Source organism: Homo sapiens, chromosome 7 (assembly GCF_000001405.40).
Source record: "Homo sapiens chromosome 7, GRCh38.p14 Primary Assembly".
In the NCBI taxonomy this organism is placed as follows: domain Eukaryota; kingdom Metazoa; phylum Chordata; class Mammalia; order Primates; family Hominidae; genus Homo; species Homo sapiens.
This window is the reverse complement of record NC_000007.14, coordinates 155,992,434-156,012,619: the sequence shown is the minus strand read 5'-3', so window position 1 is coordinate 156,012,619 and position 20,186 is coordinate 155,992,434. Positions and strand designations below refer to the sequence as shown.

The 20,186-nt window shown below is 49.5% G+C and overlaps 2 annotated features.

Annotated features, from left to right (window-relative positions):
• Positions 14,309–14,809: an enhancer, noted in NCBI's record as "H3K4me1 hESC enhancer chr7:155790505-155791005 (GRCh37/hg19 assembly coordinates)". NCBI's record gives its function as "activates a minimal SCP1, AML or CMV promoter by ChIP-STARR-seq in primed H9 embryonic stem cells {active_cell/tissue: H9 hESC(primed)}" and the evidence as "EXISTENCE:reporter gene assay evidence [ECO:0000049][PMID:30033119]".
• Positions 17,334–17,393: an enhancer, noted in NCBI's record as "active region_26905". NCBI's record gives its function as "activates an Ori minimal core promoter by ATAC-STARR-seq in GM12878 lymphoblastoid cells {active_cell/tissue: GM12878}" and the evidence as "EXISTENCE:reporter gene assay evidence [ECO:0000049][PMID:35858748]".

Here is a 20,186-nt window from a genome sequence, read left to right as displayed (position 1 = left end):
TAGCCATTGTGATGTCATAGTGCAATGCATCACTCGTGTTTACGGCCATGCTGATGTAAACAAACCTACTGTACTGACAGTCATAAAAGTATAGAACATACAGTTATGTATAGTACAGAATGATTAATGATAATAAACAGCTATGTTACTAGCTTATATATTTATCATGCCATACTTTTATTGTTACTTTAGAATGTGCCCCTTCTACTTACAAAAAAAGTAAACTGTAAAACAGCTTAGGGCAGGTCCTTCGGGAAGTCTTCCAGAAGAAAGCATTGTTCTCACAGGCGCTGGCAGCTCCATGCGTGTGATTACCCAGAAGATCTTCTGGTGGAACAAGATGCGAAGGTGGAAGGCAGTGATACTGAGTGTCCTGGCCCTGTGTAGGCCAAGGCTAATGTGAGTGTTTGCATCTTTGTTTTTAACAAAAAATGTTTTAAGTTTTAAAAACATTTTAATGATAAAAGCTTATAGAATAAGGATATAAAGAAAGAAAATATTTTTGTTCAGCTGTAAGCTAAGTGTTACTACAAAGGAGGTGAAAATTTTTTTTAAGTTTATCAAGTAAAAACATTACAGTAGGCTAAAGTTAATTTATTATGAAAGAAGGAAATTTTTTAATAATTTAGCGTAGCCTGAGTATCTTGTGTTCATAAAGTGTAAAGTGGTGCACAGTAATGTCCCAGGCCCTCATGTTCACTCACCATTCACTCACTGACACACACAGAGCAACTTCCAGTCTGGCAAGCTCTATTTCTGCTAAGTGTTCTAGCAGAACAGGTGCACCATTTTTTATCTTTAATACCATATTTTTACTGTACCTTTCCTATATTTAGATATGTTCAGATACACACATACTTACCATTGAGTTACAATTGCCTGTAATGTTCAGTACAGTAACTTGCTGCACAGGTTTGTATCCTAGGAGCAAAAGGCTATGCCATGTAGCCTAGGTGTGTGGTAGGCTAGATCATCTCTGTTTGTATAAGTACACGCCATGATGTTCACACAACAAAATTGTCCAATGACACATTACTCAGAATATATCCCCATCATTAGGTGATGCCTAACTATATGTAGAATAATTATAACAATGCATTAGTGGATTTGGGACATATATATATAAATGTGATATGTGTAATATGTGTACTAATAGCACAAAAAGAGGAGGGGGGATAGAACTAATATCTCAATATTACACTGAATTGTTAGAAACCTGAAGTAGATTCTAAGGTAAGATATAACTTGTAAATCCTAGGGCAATTACTAAGAAAACAATTTTTTAAATGTAGGGTGAAAAAATCATTACAAAATTAAAATGTTGTAGAATATATTCACTTAGTGCAATGGAAATCTATAGAGGAGAAACAGAAGAACAAACCGGTACACCAGACATAGGGAAAACTAAAAACAAATTGATAGGGCCGGGTACGGTGGCTCACACCTGTAATCCCAGCACTTTGGGAAGCCAAGGCAGGTGGATCACCTGAAGTCGGGAGTTTGAGACCAGCCTGACCAACATGGAGAAACCCCATCTCTACTAAAAAAATAAGTAAAAAATTAAAAAAATACCTAGGCATGGTGGTGTATGCCTGTAGTCCCAGCTACTCAGGAGGCCGGGGCAGGAGAATCACTTGAACCCAGGAGGTGGAGGTTGCGGTGAGCCGAGATCGTGCCATTGCACTCCAGCCTGGGCAATAAGAGCAAAACTCCATCTCAAAAAAACAAAACAAACAAAACAAAATGATAGACATAAGTCAAACCATATTAATATAGACACTGAAAGTGAATGGATTAACAATCCAATCAAAAGATAGAGATTGTCAAAATGGATTTGTTTTAAATAAGATCTAACTATTCTGTCTATAAGAGATGCACATTTGATTCAAAGACACAAATAGGTTCAAAGTCAAAAGGAAGGGGAAAAGTATGCCATGAAAATAGTACCCATAAAAGACCTGGAGTGGCTTTATTATAACATCAGAACAGATAGACTTTAAAACAGGAAAAAATGCTACCAGACATAAAGAGGGGCCCTTGCTCCATCGGTAATATAGAATGGCTGTCAACTTGTATACACTATCAATGGAGCCCAGAGATACACAAAGCCAAAGCTGACAGAATTCAAGTTAGAAATAGATAATTCAGCAACCGTGGTTGGAGACTTTATTAGTCTACCTTCAATAATCAATAATGGATGCAACTAGTCAGACCAACAGACAAATAGAAGACTTTAATAACACTATAAACCAACCAGACCTAACAGGCATCTACAGAACACTCCACTCAGCAACACCAGAATGCACATTATTTTTAAGCATATATGGGCAATTCTTCAAGATCGACAATCCGTTAAGGCCATAGAAAAACCCAATAAGTGTTAAAGATGTATGTTATGCAAAGTAAGTTCTCCAACATAGACAGAATGAAATTATAAATGAATAACAGAAATAAATGTAAATTTTAACATATGTAGAAATTAAACAATGTAGTCCTAAATAATAAATGTGTAAATAAAGAAATCCCAAGGGAAATTAAAAACTACTTCAAGAGAAATGCAAGTAAAAAAACACAACATACTATAATGTACGTGATGCAGCTAAAGCAGTACTTAGAGGGTCATTTGTAGCTATAACAATCCACACTAAAAAAGAAGAGAGACCTCACACTGATATTATAACTTTCCACCTTAAAACACTAGAAGAGCAAACTAAAACTAAAGCAAGCAGAAAAAAACAGTAAAGAGTAGATAAGAAATAAGTTAAATAGAAAATAGAAAAAAATAAGACAACCAAAAGTTCTTTGGAAAAAAAAAAATTGACACACTGTTATCTAGAAGATTCATATTACTAAAATCAGGAATGAACATGTGACGTCACTACCAACTTTACAGAAATAAAAAAGTATTATTAGGAGAGTACTGTGAAGAACTACATGGCAGGAAACTAGACAATTCAGGTGAAATGGACAAATGTCTAGAAAGACACAAACTACCAAAATTGCCTCAAGAAGAAATAGAAAATCTGAATAAACCTATAATGAGTAACAGAATTAATTAATAATTTTTAAACTTCCAGCAAAGAAAATCCCAGTCCCAGATGTTTTCACTGGTTTCATTGAGTTCTACAAAATATTTCTGAAAGAATTAATAAGGATTATTCATAAACTATTTTTAAAATGTTATTTCAAAACTTAATCCTAAAACTTCCTCTCCGAGGCCGGTATCACCCTGATTTCAAAGCCGGAAAAACAAATCACAAGGTAAGTATAGACCAATGTCTCTTATGAATATAAATGCAAAAATCTGCAACAAAATAGAAGCAGAGAGAATTCAGCAACATATAAAAATGGTTATACTCCATGACCAAGTGGGACTTACCCGAGAAATGCAAAGTTGGCCCAAAATATGAAAGTTAATCAATGTTATACAACATATTAATAAGAAAAAGAATAACATGAACTTATCACTAGATACAGGGAACACATATGATGAAATCTGACACGCTTTCATGATAAAATGGTCAACAAACTAGGGATAAAAGGGAAATTCCTCAACCCAACAAAGAGCATCTATGGAACACCCACCCCTAACATCGTACTTAATGGTGATGGACTGAATGCTTTTTCTAAAATCAGGAACAAGACAAAGACATCCATTCTCACCACTTCTATTCAACATTGTACTGGAGGCTCCAGCCAGGGCAACTAGGCAAGAAAAAGAAATAAAAGGCATCCAGATTTGAAAACAAGTAAAACTATTTATTTTCACAGATGACATAATAATCTTGTATGTAGAAAATCCTAGTGAATCCACTCAAAAAGTATTCACACTGATAAACAAGTTCAGTAAAGTTGCAAGATACAAAATTAATATACAAAAAGCCATTGTATTTCTATAAGCTAGCAAAGAACAATCTGAAAATGGAATTAAGAAAGCAAATGCATTTACAATAGTATGAAAAAGAAGAAAATACTTAGGAACAAGCTTAACAAAGGAAATAGAAAACTTGTACCTTGGAAACTACAAAACATTTTGAAAGAAATTAAAGAAGATCTAATAAATGGCAAGTCATCTCATGTCCATGGGTTGAAAAGCTTAGTGTTGTTAAATGCAACACTCCTCAAGTTAACCTATAGATTCAGCACAATTTCTATAAATATTGCAGCTGCCTTTTTTGCATAAATTGACAAGCTGATTCTAAAATTCATATGGAAATGCAAGTGCCCATAATAGTGTAATCAATCTTGAAAAAAAAAGTTGGAGAACTCACACTTCCTGTCTTAAAATTTCCCACAAAGCTACAGTAATCAACAGAGTGTGGTGCTGGTGTAAGGACAGATGTATAGGATATCAAGATTGAGTTGAGAGTTTAAAAATAAACCCTCACATTCTATAGTTACCTGATTTCCAACAAGGGTCCCAAGAAAATTCAATGGGGAGAAAATAGTATTTTTAACCAATGGTGCTGGGACAACTGGATATCCACATGCAAAAGAATGAAATTGGACTTCTACCTCACACCATACACAAAAATTAACTCAGAGTGGATTATAGTCATAATTGTAAAAGCTAAAATTATAAAACTCTTGGAAGGAAACATAGGATCAAATTCTCATAACTTTACACTAGGCAATGTTTTCTTAGCTATGACACCAAAAACGTGACAACAACTATTAGATAGTTGGGACTTCATCAAAATTTTAAACTTTTGTGTTTCAAAGGACACAATCAAGGAGATGAAAAAGACAATCCACAGAATGGGAGGAAATATTTGCAAATCATGTATCTGGTAAGGAACTGGCATGCAGAATATATGCCATACAGGATATATATGGCATGTATATGGAATACAGGATATGGCATACAGGATATGGCTTATAGGATATATATACAGGAAAGACTCTCAAAACACAATGATAAAAAAGACAATCCAATTTAAAAATGAGTGAAGAACTTGAATAGACAATTCTCCAAAGAAGATATACAAAGTACCAAAAAGCACATGCAAAGATGTCCCACACCCCTGGCCGTTAGAGAAATGCAAGCCTAAGCTGCAATGAGGTCCCGCTGCAATGAGGTCCCACTGCAAACCCACTAAGATGGCTATAATCCAAAAGGCCAACTATCAGGAGTGTCAGCAGAGATGTGTAGAAAGCACGGTCCTCACACACTGCTGGGGAAAAGATAAAATGTGTTGCAGGTTTGGAAAACAGTTTAGCTGCACCTCGAAAATGTTAAACACAGTTTCCACGTGACCCAGTCATGCCACCACTAAGCACATAACCTAGAGTGAAATATAACCAAGTGAAAACACACGACCACACAAAAACTTGTGTGTGGATCTTCATAACGGTATGACGGCAGTCTCCCATTGTCTGCAGGGGACATGCGCCAAGACTCCCAGTGGATGGCTGAAACTGAGATTAGTACTGAACCCTATATAGACTATGCTTTTTTGATATGCTGGCCAAAACAGCTACAATGTGGCTAATAGGGAGGTGGCGGATCCAATGCAGATCTGCTGGACAAAGCAATGATGCAGGCCGGGTGCGGTGGCTCACACCTGGAATCCTAGCACTTTGGGAGGCCAACGCGGGTGGATCACCTGAGGTCAGGAGTTCGAGACCAGCCTGACCAACATGGTGAAACCCGGTCTCTACTAAAAATACAAAAAATTAGCCAGGCGTGGTGGCAGGTGCCTGTAAACCCAGCTACTTGGGAGGCTGAGGCAGGATAATCATTTGAACCCAGGAGGCAGAGGTTAAAGTAAGCCGAGATTGCACCATTGCACTCCAGCCTGGGCAACAGGAGCAAAACTCCATCTGAAAAAAAAAAAAAAAAAAAAAAAGATGATGCTTATCCCAGGCAGGATAGGGCAGGATGGCACAAGATATTATCACAAGACTCAGAATGGCAGACAACTTAGAACTTATGAATTGTTTTCTTCTGGAATTTTCCATTTAAAATTTTTGGACCAGGGTTGACTATAAGTAACTGAAACCATGGAAAGCAAAACTGCAGGCAAGGGGGGACCACTGTGTTCCTAATAGCTATAAAGAGAAAACCCAAAATCTATCAACCGATAAACAAGCAAAATGTAGTATATCCATACAACGTAATGTTATGCAATAATAAACAGGAATGAACAACAACATGAATGAGCCTTGAAAAGATTATGCTAAGTGAAAGAAAAGACTACATATTGTAAGATTCTATTTATATTTAAAACAATACCAAACAGGGAACGCCATAAAGACAGAAAGTCTCTAGGTGGTTGTCTATAGCTGGGTAGGTTGGAAGGAATGGAAAGGACTGGGAGGAGGTCTGGGGCTTCTTTGGGGTTGATGCTCTGAAGTTGGCTGTGCTGGCAGCTATGCAAGTCTGTGAGTAGAATACACTAAAAACCATTCAACTGTGCAATTTAGATTTGCAAACTGCATTAAATGTGAGTAATAACCTCATAAAGCTGCGTGTAATATCTCACAAACACATATGTGAGAATCCAGACATCCTGTCTTAAGCCAGACATGAAAGACATTTGTAAAAATATAAATCAATGCCACAGTCCTACTTGTATAAAAATACCGTATGTCATGGGATTATTATTAGTATTTTTATATGAATTAATACACGTCTTAAATTTTTCAGTTTTAATTCCCAATACAGTAAACTCAGTGATTTTTAAGGATGTGACAGGGTCTTGAAACCAAAATGTTTGAAAACTGCGAAGTCAGAGGAAGGTGTCCCAGCAAGGCAATGTCAGTGGGGTTAAAGGAGGGGAGGGAGACAGGCCAGTGGCTGCCTCCTCTGGCGATGCCTTCAGAGGGGACTGCCTCCGAGGCACCTGATGCTTCTCAGAGCATGAGAAGCTGAGGGACAGGCCATCGGGGCTGTAGTTATTCAAAAGTTTTGAGAGGCGCGGTCCTGGGTCTAAGGGTAGGATTGGCCCTTGATGCCCTGGACACCCTCCTTCTGCTGCAAAGAGAGGACGTGACTTCGGGGACGCACAAGTGGGGCAGTGGGACACTGAGGAGCCCTGCGGGAAGCTGCACCTTCTCCCTGCTGTGGGGGGCCTGCGAGGGAAATGAAGCAGGGCCTCTTCAGGATGAGGACAGGGGACACTTGAGGAACAGAAGGGACTTGGGCAGGGATGTGCAGCGGGCTTGCTGGCACCGCTGGGCCCAGGAGACCGACAGTCCTGGATGCTCCAGGAATCTGTCTGCTCCGTGGTGCGGCTCTCCCACTGCTGGAGGCTTCTTGGCACATGCAGCCATTGTGGGGTGGCTCTGATAGCTGTGACCCCTCCACCTGGGGCTCCCTCAGAAATAGCCTCCGTCCGCCACTGGGGAGGCCTGTTCCAGAAACCAGTGGGGACAGACAGGAGCTGTCTTAGGATAAGTCATAGGGCCCAGGGCATGGATGCCACTGTCCGAGCTGGCACAGAAGACGGGGCCCATGTCTTCTGCCCTGCAAGTGGGTGCCGGTGAGGTAGGGGTGCACCTCTGCCCTGTGCAACCACACTGTTCCACTAGATTTTCCTGGACCAGATGCCGCCACCAGAGCTGAACCCATGCCCTTTCCAGCCATGCGAGGCCAAGCCTGCGCCCCGGCAGCACCGACTTCTCGTGTACCCGTCGGGCCGGCTGGAGAAGCACTGAGGGCTCCTGGACCTGGGCACGCCCTTCCTGCTCCATCCCCCGGCTACCTCAGTTGTAAAACAGAGCCGATGGTGAATGGCGCACGCTTTCCAGAGTCTGTGCTCAGAGGGATTGGGGTCCTTGGGGACAATGCAGAGAACATGTGTTCATTCCCAAGTGACAGGTGACATCCCCGTCAACACCTGACATCCCCGTCATCTTGCTCCGGGCTTGTCCCCAAGCAGGCCCAGCTCTGCGCTCCTCGTTCACGCCATGAGTGGAGGGGTTCTCTGTGGAAGCTCAGAGCGTGAGGTGAGGAGTACTCAGAGCAGACTCTTGTTTAGGGGTGAGGAAGCAATCCTCATCCTACTCAGACGCGCTCCAGAAGGCACCCTTCTGGGACGTGTCCTGCCAAGCGACGGGAGCCCCAAGGAGGTCTCTGAAAACTCCAAGCTGTTCTGCAAAGCCAGGCACACAGGCTGACGTCCGGGCGGTCACTGAGGGATATGCCTAAGCGCTTCCCAGCCGGCCTTGTTGTGCAACCTCTTCCTCCCTGGGAACTGTGACACCAGGATATCAATGGCAAAGTCAATGGTGAAGTCAGTGGCGATTGTGGCTCCACGCTTGGTCCCGCAACACCTCTTACCTCTATGCAGCTAAAAATAAGTTCCATGCTCGTTTCCAAAACAGGAAGAGCTATGAAAATTGACAGCAGCCGGGTGAGGTGAGTGAATGCGGGTAGGGGTGTCTAGAGAGCCCCATTCTGCCCCGACGCTGTGCACCGTAGGGTGAGCTGTATATCCTCAGTCTCTCCATCTGCAAAGTGAAGGGGCTGCAGGGAAGGACCCCTTGGGTCCCTCTGTGTCAGACGAGGGGCAGCCTCTGTTTAAGGCATGAGAGGAGCCCTGTCATGGTCTCCCTAACTGACAGTTGATAAAGATAAATGATCAGGTCCGGGGGCCATTAGCTAGCTCCCGGGCCCCTGCTGGGAGCGCAGGGCTGGAGCGTGCGTTCAAAAAGCCCATTTTCCATCCCAGCACTTCTGTCTGTTTGAATTACAGGACTCACCCGTCCCCTCCTGCTGGCCGCCGCCTCCCCTCAGCCCACCCTTCGGCTCTGCTTTTGGAGTCTGTGCTGGAGACAGACTCGGCCTGCTTCTTTTCTCCTTCTCCTTATGCACTGAAAACTGGCTGCTGTCGCATTTTGCCAAAATTGCTCTTAAAAGACCCTAAGATTGAAAAGTGGGAGTGGGCAGCCCAAAGACACCCTGACTCCCTCCAGCACCCTAGCAAATTCGCCCGCTGGACCAACAAGCACCATTTGCCCGAGTGACATTTTTGTTTTAGGGATCTTTTTAAATTCGCACTGCAAGACCAGACTGGCCTCAAGGCAGTCACTGCCTGAGCCTCAGACCATCATTAGAAACACTGCTCAGTCATCAGTGCTCCAGGTCTCTGCAAAGCGGTCCTGGGATGCATCTCCAGACTCCTCCCAGCCTCCCTTCCCAGGGAGCAGCGTCGGGAGAGAACAAGAGCAGGCAGCTGGGAGCCACCTCTGCAGAGCTGCTGCATCCTGGTTACCTCAGGAACCACTGCTCACCCAAGGCGCCCTGCTCACAGCCCTGCATCCAAGGCACTTCACAGCTCAGAGTCACCGCTGAACCCAACCCTTCCTTCTAGCGTCTTCTCCAAGCAGCCCCCTTCCCTCCCCATGTGAAGGGCCAAGGAGGAAAGAGAGCTGAAGTCTGGGAAGGATTCTGCTTGTCAGTCATTCCCCCCGATTAGGTACCTGTGCCCTAAGCACTTGGCACTGGGTGTGTTTCTTATCAATCTAGATGATACATTTGGGTTTGAATGAACCATAAAATGCCCCAATCTTGGCAGGGAGGCATCTTTGCTTTAGGAAGAAAAAGGAAACAATCCAGTTTATGAAGGTAAAGTTGAGCGGGTGGTGCTTTTTGATAAGGACACCCATAAAATGAGTAAGAACACGTTTTGTAGGTGCTGGAATCTTTAGCAGGAGGTCACCTGGGAGGCTGCAGAGGGGAGGGAGAGCTGATCTGTACAGGGGGCAGCCAGTGAGCAGGAAATGCCCCAGCACCGACAGGAAGGAGGGCCGCCTTCTGACACAGGGCGGGCTGGAGACATCCCAGGTGACAGTGATGATGACGGGGTAGCTACCACTTACTGAAGGCCTCCCGCATGCCATGCACTGAACTGTGGCTCACCCACATGCTCTCATTTAACCTCAGCCAGCAGCCTGTGTCACCACTGCCCCCGTTTCACAGACGAGGAAACCAAGGCCAACTGCGGTCAATTCACGCAGCCAAGATTACACAACCAGGAAGTAGCCAGGCTGAGCCTCGAACCCAGATCTGTTCGATTCCAAAGATCATGACCTTCGCCGCCATGCTCTGCTGGTTCAGCAGGTGCTCATTATGACGTCAATTATACTTTATTTATGAATTCATTTAGTTTTTAGTTTTTATGTTCCTTGAAAACATGTGAATGTGGTTCACATAGAAACCTCCACGGCAATGTTCATAAGCTCCAGGGTGGATTTGTGTCATGTCAACCCCTACCCTCACAGCAGCCCTGCCATCAGCAGGACCAGGCCAGAGGGCCACAAGGGAAGGCAGCTCCAACTCCCACCTACTTCCCTCTGGGCCTGAAATGAAGCCCTGACCTCTGCACAGTCACTGTGGCCCTTTTGTGCCATTGCTCTGATTGTCAGAGCCATTCTCTGCACCCAGCACACCGGCAGAAGCGTCAGGTTCCAACACGATCCCACTTCCTTGTTTGACTTCCAGCCCGGGGCTGCTGTGGCCCGCTCCCACGGGAGCCTCACCGTGACCTCGCAGTGGTTTCATAAGTTTTAATGAGTAAATTCCAGACTTAGCCCCATGCACACATAAGACACCCACGGCACACACCCACGGAAACAGCGTGACTTGGGTGGCTGTGGGTTTGCTCCGAGAGGAGACCCAGGTAGGCCCAGGCAGTGTGGCGGGGCCCTGGGATGGCAAACGCCAGGACACCAGGGGAGACCAGCGCTTGGCAAAATGCATGGCATAACTTGGGCAAGACAGCATTGCAACAAATGATTGTGTGGAAGAAAAGACAGCGCCCTTAACCCCATGAAACAGAGTTAACTGGGAGGTTTGGAAAGTATCTTTAGGAGCCACTCAGCCGAGCTGTCCCTGGTCTGCAATCCACAGAGAGAAACAAGGGGCTACGGCTGCAAAGATGCTGATGAACGAGGGGAGAGGCGAGGATGCCACTGCGGGACCGCGGCACCCAGGCCTGGGAAACACAGGTGCCATTGGATTCCCTGGGAAGCCAGAGGGTGACAGCTTGTTGCCAGCCGAACGAAGAGAAAAACAGACAAAGATCAAGGAAGAGGAGGGGGCTCCCATGGAGGGGCTGGGAGGCCACCCTACTGACTCCCAACCCTACTGATGAAACTGAGACCCACAAAGGGGAAAGGGCGGCCCAAGTCCCCAGCCACACCCTGCCGAGCTGGGGCAAGCAGGACGCTGTACCTGTAGCTCTCTGCAGCCACCCTGTCACAGATGACACGTGTAATCCTTTCACATGTCAAACTTCGCCAGGTTTTTCCCTCCACAAATCATCCCCATGGAGAGAGATTCTCTCCCAGCACCATGGGAGACGGTGAGGACCCCAAGCATAAATGAGCGCATCCCAGAACACCCAGCGTGCAGGGGAACAGGGGGCGACAGAGAACGCCCGGTGTGCAGAGGAACCAGGGACAACAGAGAACACCCGGCGTGCAGGGGAACCGGGAACAACAGGCAAGGGCTGTGCCTGGGGAGGGGACTCTGCCCTGGGACTGCCGCCCTCCAGGACTCTGCCATCTTGTCACACAAAGATGTTCCTTTTCCTGTGCGCCAGGACGAGTAAAAGGCTTGGCAGCACTGTCCTAAAGGATGGCCTGACGTCTGGCAGCCCTGGCTCTTCCCGTGCGAGGATTCCTCCCAAGGGGCAGAGATCCTCACCAGCTCCTGACATAGCCTTCGGGGGCTCCTAGGCTTTCCCAAAGAGCTTGGTCTTGGTGCTGTTTGGTCTCAGCCACACAGCATCACGTCTGTGAGTGATGATGAGTCACGCACAGGCTCAGCCCTGGTGGGGCAAGAGAAGAGGAGGCGAGAGGTGACGGCTGTACGATGTGGTCCCTACCCTCCATCCCCTGAAAGAGAAGAGGAACCAGAGTCTGGGCTGCTGCAATGAGCCCAGCTGGTCAGTGAGTACCTGGGGAAAGACAACAGGGGCAGCGCCCTGCAGAGGCCGGGGCACGGCAAGCGGCCAAGACAGGGCCTGTTGGATTTTTGAAGCCAACCAGATAGAAGAAGGAAGGAAGAGCGTGGTGTCAAGGTTCACTCCCAGCTTAATGCGTTCAGCTTGGCAGACGGAAATGATCCAAACCGAGAGGGAGTCTGTAGAAGGCTGTGGGGATGCAGGAGGCTGAGCCTCGCTCTGGGTTGATGTCCAGACCCATGCAGGACATCCAGGCATGGATGGGTCTGGTGGTGTTTGTGCGTAGGACCTGGTGCCCAGGAGAGAGGCCAGCCAGGCCTGTGGAGTTGGCTGTTACAGACAGAGGGGCGTAGAGTCGTGGCTGGGAGCCCATCTACTGAGAGCAAGTTGGGGTGAGCAGTGAGGCGACCCAGGGACCCTGACACCTACTGAGGAGGAGGCAAGAAGAGACAAGGAGTCGAAGCTCACGTGGGGTGTTGATGCCACAGCGCAGGCCAGGCCAGCAAACTCCAGGCCTCAAGGGCCTGAGAACAGCCCCGCTTTGAGAAGCCCTGCACTGTGAATGAGAAACTGGCGGGCGGCTCCACACCAATGCGATTGAGGAGCAGAAACACGCGCAAACACTGCAGTGCCACTCGCGTGTGCTTGCTGACAATTTGGGTGATTTAGAATGTGCTGGTTTATCCTATTCTTCTTAGGTTAATGGAAAAATAGTGTTGCCAAAGGCCTCACAGATGGCATCTGACTGCAGGCCCCAGCCCAGGCAGCCTCACCTGTGGGCCAAGAGCCCTTCCCACTCGTGCACGCGAGACTCCCCACTAGTGAAGGAGGAACAGAAGCGGGCTCTGTCGTCTCCCCTGTCCCTCTGATTCTTCCCTTGAGAAATTCCCGAGGAACCCAAGCCCCGCTGAGAATGGCCAAAGAGAAGAAGGACAAAGTCTCGTACAATCTATTTTTGAACACGACCCGCCATACCTAGGGCTCGGTACCAGGGGTCCCGGACACTCCTTCACTGGACTGTGGCCCCCGGGGTTCCAGGGCCCCAGCACCAATGTGGCCTCTATCTACCCACACCCGGAACCATCCAGTGTCCTCCTCCCTCCAGTTCCGGGACAAGCCCCAGCCACCTTCCCCTCCCAGGGTCTTGGATAACCCTGCTCCCCTGCCGTCCAGGGCGTCAGGTCACCCCTGGGTCCTCCTGGTCTCAAGTGGGCTCTGCACAGAAGTCAGGAGAACACATTCTCCCCAGACTTGTATTTCCAGAGTTCACTCAGCCCCAGGCAGCACAGCCTGGCTCAGGATCCTATAGCTGACCTGGGGCCCCGCTTTGAGGGAGCAGCGGGCAGCCTGGTGGGAACCACATCAAGTCAGCCAAGGCTGGGCCTTCTCACCAGCCGAGGCTGGAGCGACATAGGGCAGCCAGCCCCCGCCCCGCCCTGGGAACCCACAAAGACCCAGGGACCCACAAAGGCTTGTGGACGGCCCTGGACCAGGGTCCTCTCCTCCTTCTTGCAGGGACACAAAAGTAGGGAAGAGGTGGTGGGAAGGAAGCTGAAAGGTTAGGCACACCCCAAGAGAGCTAGCACACACCAGGGCGACAGGGGAAAGGCAGACAGACCTGAGCCTGGTGAACCTGCCGGTGCCTCCCACTCAGCCTGGCAAAGGTGCGCCTGGGTCCACTATGGGCCAGACCCAGAAACCCAGGCAGCTGCAGATGTTCACACAGCCCGACTCAAAATGGGCCAAATCCCACCTGCACCGGGGATGCAATCCCACCCTGCAGCCTCCGAGGAGGGACGGCCCGTCCAGCTGAGGGCTGGGACCTGTGACCTGGCGCTGCTGGCGGGCTCCCAGGTGGGCCTCTGCCTCATGCACCTTGACCACGTGTGCGCTCCTCCCGAGGGGGCCGCACCTTAATTAAACATGGACTTTTCCCGTGCTTGTTGTCCTCGTCCTCCTTTTTAAAGAACATTGAGTGGTAAAATTCAGGCCACGGGCAGAGCAGTCCCAGTGCCCAGACCGAGGGATGCGCCCCTCCGGACCTCAACCAGAGCAGTTCTCGCAGCTGTCCTCTGAGGCCCCACAGCTCCAACCGTCTGTGCCGATGGAGAAGATGGTTTTCCAATCCCCCACGGAGCATGTGGCCAGGCGGGGGCGCGGGGGCTTCCGGGCATCCCCCCAGGGCAGGGCAGCCTCCTGGGAGCCCCCCACCCCCGCGGTTCCACGCGCCTGGGCCCCTCCTGGAAGACCCGGGATCCGGCCCCGCCCACTGCCGAGTCAAGTCCAAACCTCGCTCCTCTTCCGAAGCGTCTTTCATGTGGTTTCTGTCTAATCTGAAAACGCCTCCCTTCCCCATTGTCTTTGTATTTGTGAGCTGTTTCTTAAGTCACCTTTTGAAAAATCTGGTGCCGAAGAACACAGGTATTTCACGTGTGCACAGTGCCCGTGTCTACAAAGAATTTGGATTTCACCCCACGAAGGAAGGGAGCTGCGAGCTGTGTGCGTGCAGAGCTGGACTCTGCTAAGAGGCAGGGCAAGGTTGGGGAGCGGTCTCTCTCTGGGCTTCAGTTATCCAAGCTGGGGGAGAAGGGCACACGTCCGTCCACGGGCTCCTGCACAGCGGGCCCTGCGCCCAGCACACATGGCCGAGAGTCCTTGAGTGCTGTTCATTAGGGCTCCATCACCATGCAGGAGAGACCTGCTCGCCCTGGCATTAAGAAGAGGAACCAGGCTCAGGGAGGCTTGGGGACTCCTGGGTGGCAGAATCGGTGCTGGCCCCAGGCCTGGCTGACTGCCACACGCCATCTGGGCCCTTCCAGCACCCCCAGAACAGAGGCCGCCTGTCTGAACATCCCTGTGTCTCAGAGCCGAGAGCCAGTGAGCTTCAGCGGCTCGAAGCTCTTTACTCACTCACAGTTCAGCAGCCTCAGAACCCAACGACAGCTCTGGGTGCTGCTGCGGGGAGCAGGGCAGTGAGGACGCAAAGTGCCACAAATTCCTCCTGAGCACGGAGGAGGCCGCCTGCCTCCCATGTCACCCCGTGTGTGGAGGACAGCATGGAGGGACGGCTACGCACGCTGCACACGCGTCCATCAAATCTGCTTTCTTGTTCCTGCCAGGAGCCGCAGAGCCTGCCTTAGAACTTCCCCCGCGATGGATCTAAATGATATTTAAGGTTTGACAAGTTACACTTGTGGTTTTCAAAAGAAATCATTTTTTTGTGAAGAATTACCTTTCTTGGCATAAAATAATTGGAAAGTACCCGGATATCTCAATAAAACACATCAAAAGTAACTTTCTCCAGCTTGTTTTGACACGTCCACTTGTGGTTTCTGTCAACTTTAGCTAAACATCAGGTTTTCTCAGACAGAACAAACCATTAAAATATTCAACAGAAAAAGCAAATAGATATAATTCCTTTCTGTTTGCCTCTTTTCAAATAAAAGGCAATATTGAAAGGAGAGGCCAGCCCAATTCAAAGCACATTTTTCTGATTCATACACTTGCCATAATGATTTGCATAGGATGTAAATGTCTAAGCCCTGGACCCTGTCATTTTTTTAAATGGTGCATTGTAAAGCTGAAGCATACGAAGCCAGTTTGGTATTTACAGAGGTCTGTCCAGTTCTGTGGAGTCTGATAAATGTTAGAGGAAACGTGTATGGGTTTGAGATTAGAACGTTAGAGGGAGGACCTAAAGCAAACACCTTCCCATGAGAGAAGAAGGGAGTCTGTCCTGTTGCCCCCAGACCCTCTGCTCCTCACGCCTCACGAGAGGACAACAGACACACGAGCCTCCAGAAGGAGGACCCCGGTCCCAGACAGAAGAGCTAGCGCCTCGTGGCAGGACTGCCACTCGGGCTGGCTTTGCAGCTGGGCACGGGGTTTCCTGACAGCTGAAGCGAAACAGGAAACTTGTCCAGGGGCATAATTTTCATTTTCTAACAGAAAGAAAACTTCTAAATTTGTCCAAAGAACAAAAAAGCAGAAAGCAAAACCGACTTTTTCCTGGAGCTAAATTGGAGTGGGAATCTGTGTTAGGCCATCCTTGCGGTGCTCTAAAGGCGCCCACCTGCAGCTGGGGAATTCATAAAGACAAGAGGCTTGATTGGCTCGAGGTTCTGCAGGCTGCAAGCATGGCACCAGCATCTGCTTCTGGCGAGGCCTCAAGAAGTTTCCAATCATGGTGGAGGGTGAAGGGGGAGCAGGTGCATCTCACGGTGAGAGAGGCAGTGAGTCAGGGGGTGCCATGCACTTTTAAACGACCAGCTCTCATGTGAACTCAGAGTGGGCACTCACTCATCACCAAGGAGATGGTGCTGAACTATCCATGAGGGACCCGCCCCCAGGACCCAGACACCTCCCACCAGGCTCTGTCTCCACCAGTGGGAATCACATTTCAACATGAGACCTGGAGGAGCAAACATCCAAGCCATATCAAAATCTGTGATGACAGGTCTTATGCCAAGGCTGCCTGGTGATACCCAACAGTGCCCTCAAGAAGAGTTCTGAAACAAAAAGACACAAAACCTCTGTCCAGCCAGGCGTGGTGGCTCACACCTGTAATCCTAGCACTTCGGGAGACCGAGGCAGGCAGATCACTTAAGGTCAGGAGTTCGAGACCAGCCTGGCCAACATGGTGAAACTCTGTGTCTACCAAAAATATAAAAATTAGCTGGGCATGGTGGCACACACCTGTAATCCCAGCTACTCAGGAGGCTGAGGCAGGAGAATTGCTTGAACCCGGGAGGAGAAGTTGCAGTGAGCCAAAATTGTGCCACTGCACTCCAGCCTGAGCAATAAGGGGAGACTCCATCTCGAAAAAAGAGACACAAAGTTTCTGGCCAAAGGACCCTTTCTTTCCCAAGCATCTCCCAGGATGCTGAGTGGCTATGCTGGGACAATCACCCAATGTGAGTGAGAGGGAAAAGTTGGGAAACTCTAAGCCCCCTGCCCCACCCCCACCCCCACCCTCTCTCGCAGTCTGAGGAGGGGTCTTTGCTGCTCATGGACTTACCAATATTTTGTGGGAAAATTGGGTAATACGAAGAGGAGAAAGATGGAAGCCAAGAGGAGACAGAAGTGCTCTGAATGGGCACACGGAAGATGGGAGCCATGTCAAGGACACCAGGCAGCCACTGTGGGGCATGGCCTCAGGGACGTGATGGTGACGGTCCCGTGCAGCCGCCCTGTGTCAGAGCCCCCACGTCCCACCACTGGTCTGTGAGCCTGGCGTGCTCTCACTTCAGTCCTCGTCACAGCACGGTGAGGCAGTTTCTTGCATTTTGCCCATTTTCCACATATGTGGAAACTGAGGCAGAGGCTCAACACTCCCAAAGCCCAGACAGAAAGTACCAGAGCCTGGATCCATGCCCAGGGAGCCTGTCCCCCTCCCCATGAGCTCAGGCTTCCCGCTGGGGCTCCAGTGTTACAAGATAGCATTCTGCCTTCACCACATCCTCTTTCAGAACTTTGATATAGTAAAAATAGATCAAAACTACTTTTTCCGATGCCTGAAGCTGCATGTGAGCTTCTCTGGATGCAATTTTCTGTTGAGTTTGTGTTATGTAAGAAGTGAATGGCCAGGCACGGTGGCTCACGCCCGTCATCCCAGCACTTTGGGAGGCTGAGATGGGCTGATCACTTGAGGTCAGGAGCTTGAGATCAGCCTGGCCAACGTGGCAAAAACCCATCTCTACTAAAAATACAAAAATTAGCCGGACATGGTGGTGCATGCCTGTAATCCCAGCTACTAAGGAGGCTGAGGCAGGAGAATCATTTGAACCCAAGAGGCAGAGGTTGCAGTGAGCCGAGATCATGCCATTGCACTCCAGCCTGAGTGACAGGAGCGAGAAACTCCATAGAAGAAGAAGAAGGAAGAAGGAAGAAGAAGAAGTGAATGAAGTCATCTACAGGGAAAATGAGGATTATTTTAGACAAACACTTGGTTCAAGGAGTTACTGGGCCCCCAGGAACCTTCATCAGCAATGCCAGGAGAAGGGGCCGAGGCTGGGCTCTGAGGAGGGAGTGCAGCTCAGGCCAAAGGCAGGGGAGAAAAACACAGGCGCTGGAGGGTTCAGGTACAAGGGATCCCAAGGGGGTCAGGCCCAGGGTGGCAGGAAGGCAGGTCTGTGAGGACAGAAGGACCCCGAAGGCAGACAGAGGCTCAGGAGGGAGCTGAGCAGGAAAGATCAATGGGCACACACACAGCTTAGCAGGCTCAGCCTGGACAGAGTGGGCAGCAGATCAGAGGGGCAGGACCAGAGATGGGGACGTTGACAGCCGCAGTGAAGGCCTGAGATAGCAGCACAGGACAGACAGGAAGGAAGAGGGACTGTACTGATTCTAACAAGGAAGGCTCCGTAGGATTTGGGATTGGCTAGATGTGAGGGAAGAGAGGGACAGAGGGAGGGAGACAGAGGGAAGTCCAGGGCGAGGCCCAGGTTTCTGGTTTGGGAGCAGAGCCGGAGGGTGTGTGTACAGCAGAGGAGGAGGGGCTGTTTGCTGAGGGAGAGCCAGGGCCAGGGATGGATGAGGTGGGGCAGGAGTGGGAAGAGGGAGCTGGAGTCAGGTCAGTTGAAGGTGCCCCACGGCCGCCAGGTGAGATGCAGGCCAGCCACCGCGTACAGACCTGGAGCTCAGCAGAGACCCGGTTGGGAACCTCAGGGCAGCATGGCGCATCATGTCACGAGCTCTGTGCTCAGCTGGGGCTGGCTTCGGTCTGAGTTGCGTCTCCAAGTTCCTGCCGAAGTCCTAACCCCAGGACCTCAAAACGTGGCTGTATTTGGAGACAAGGTCTGTAAAGAGATAACTAACTAAGAAGGAGGTCTTTAGGGCGAGCCCTAACCCAGTCTGACTGTCCTTACGGCAAGAGGAGATGTGGACACAGACAGGCACAGACAGGCAGCCTTGTGAAGACACAGGGAGAGGGCGGCCGTCTGCCAGCCAAGGCGAGCCCCAGGAGAAGCCAGCCCTGCCCACACCTGATATCAGACTTCTGGCCTCCACAGCTGGAGCAGATGAATTTCTGGCTCAGTACCTTGTTACAGCCTCGGGAGACCCTCACAAGGCCCAGCACTGAGGGCCCTCACCGCACTGTGTCACCATCCAGTGGAAGAGGCGCACGCCAACGGGCAGAACCTTAGACTACAGAAGGGGCTGATGGAGGCAGGAATGAGGAACACAGAGGACCGAGTGGCAGCCACCACCAATATGGACAACAGGCAGCACCTTAGACTAGAGCAGGGGCTGATGGAGGCAGGAATGAGGAACACAGAGGACCGAGTGGCAGCCACCACCACTATGGACAACGGGCAGCACCTTAGACTACAGAAGGGGCTGATGGAGGCAGGAATGAGGAACACAGAGGACCAAGTGGCAGCCACCACCAATATGGACAACGGGCAGCACCTTAGACTACAGCAGGGGCTGATGGAGGCAGGAATGAGGAACACAGAGGACCGAGTGGCAGCTACCACCACTATGGACAACGGGCAGCACCTTAGACTACAGCAGCGGCTGATGGAGGCAGGAATGAGGAACACAGAGGGCCGAGTGGCAGCCACGAACACCATGGACACGGGCCTTAAGGGGCAAGCCTGGGACTCAAGGCCGGAGGACATGTGGGCTTCCAGGCAGAGATGCCATGTCTGACACTGGGCAGAACTTCAATTCAAAACCTTTCCATGCATTCCCCGTCCTTAGGAAAGGCCAAAGCTGAGGTGATGAAAACACAGTCACCCAGCTGAGCTGGTTGCAAAATGGGCCCCCTATAGCTGAGTGAGAGCACCTATGCAAAGCCCATTTAAGGACAACCATTTAGGTGGTGGCAAATGCTTGTCGGCTGCAGACATCCTTTCTGAGATGTAATTGAAGCTGCTCCTCCAGCCCGAGCGAGCCAGTGGGTCCCACTCCTTGTGAAGATGGCTCGTAATGAAAGGACGGAGGCTGCCTCATCTGCTGTGAGCCATGTGCATCACAGGAAACCCCGCCTCGCCTCAACACCCAGTTCTTTCACTGCAATGTTTGAAGACCGAAAGGAAGGGTGCAGACGTCAGGCCCCAGCCCTGTGTCAGGGCACCTGCCACTGAGGAAGGCCTGCGTTCACACTGCCCTGCAGCCTCCCACAGCTCTGGGGCTTCAGCACCCCCAGCTTCTAACGTCCCCCCTAGAAGACAGTGAGAAGGACCGGCCCTGGGGTTTCTAGGGCCGGCAGAGGTTGTAGCACACAGTAGGTGGTGCAGAGAGGAGGGTTACTGATTTTACTAGAGACGA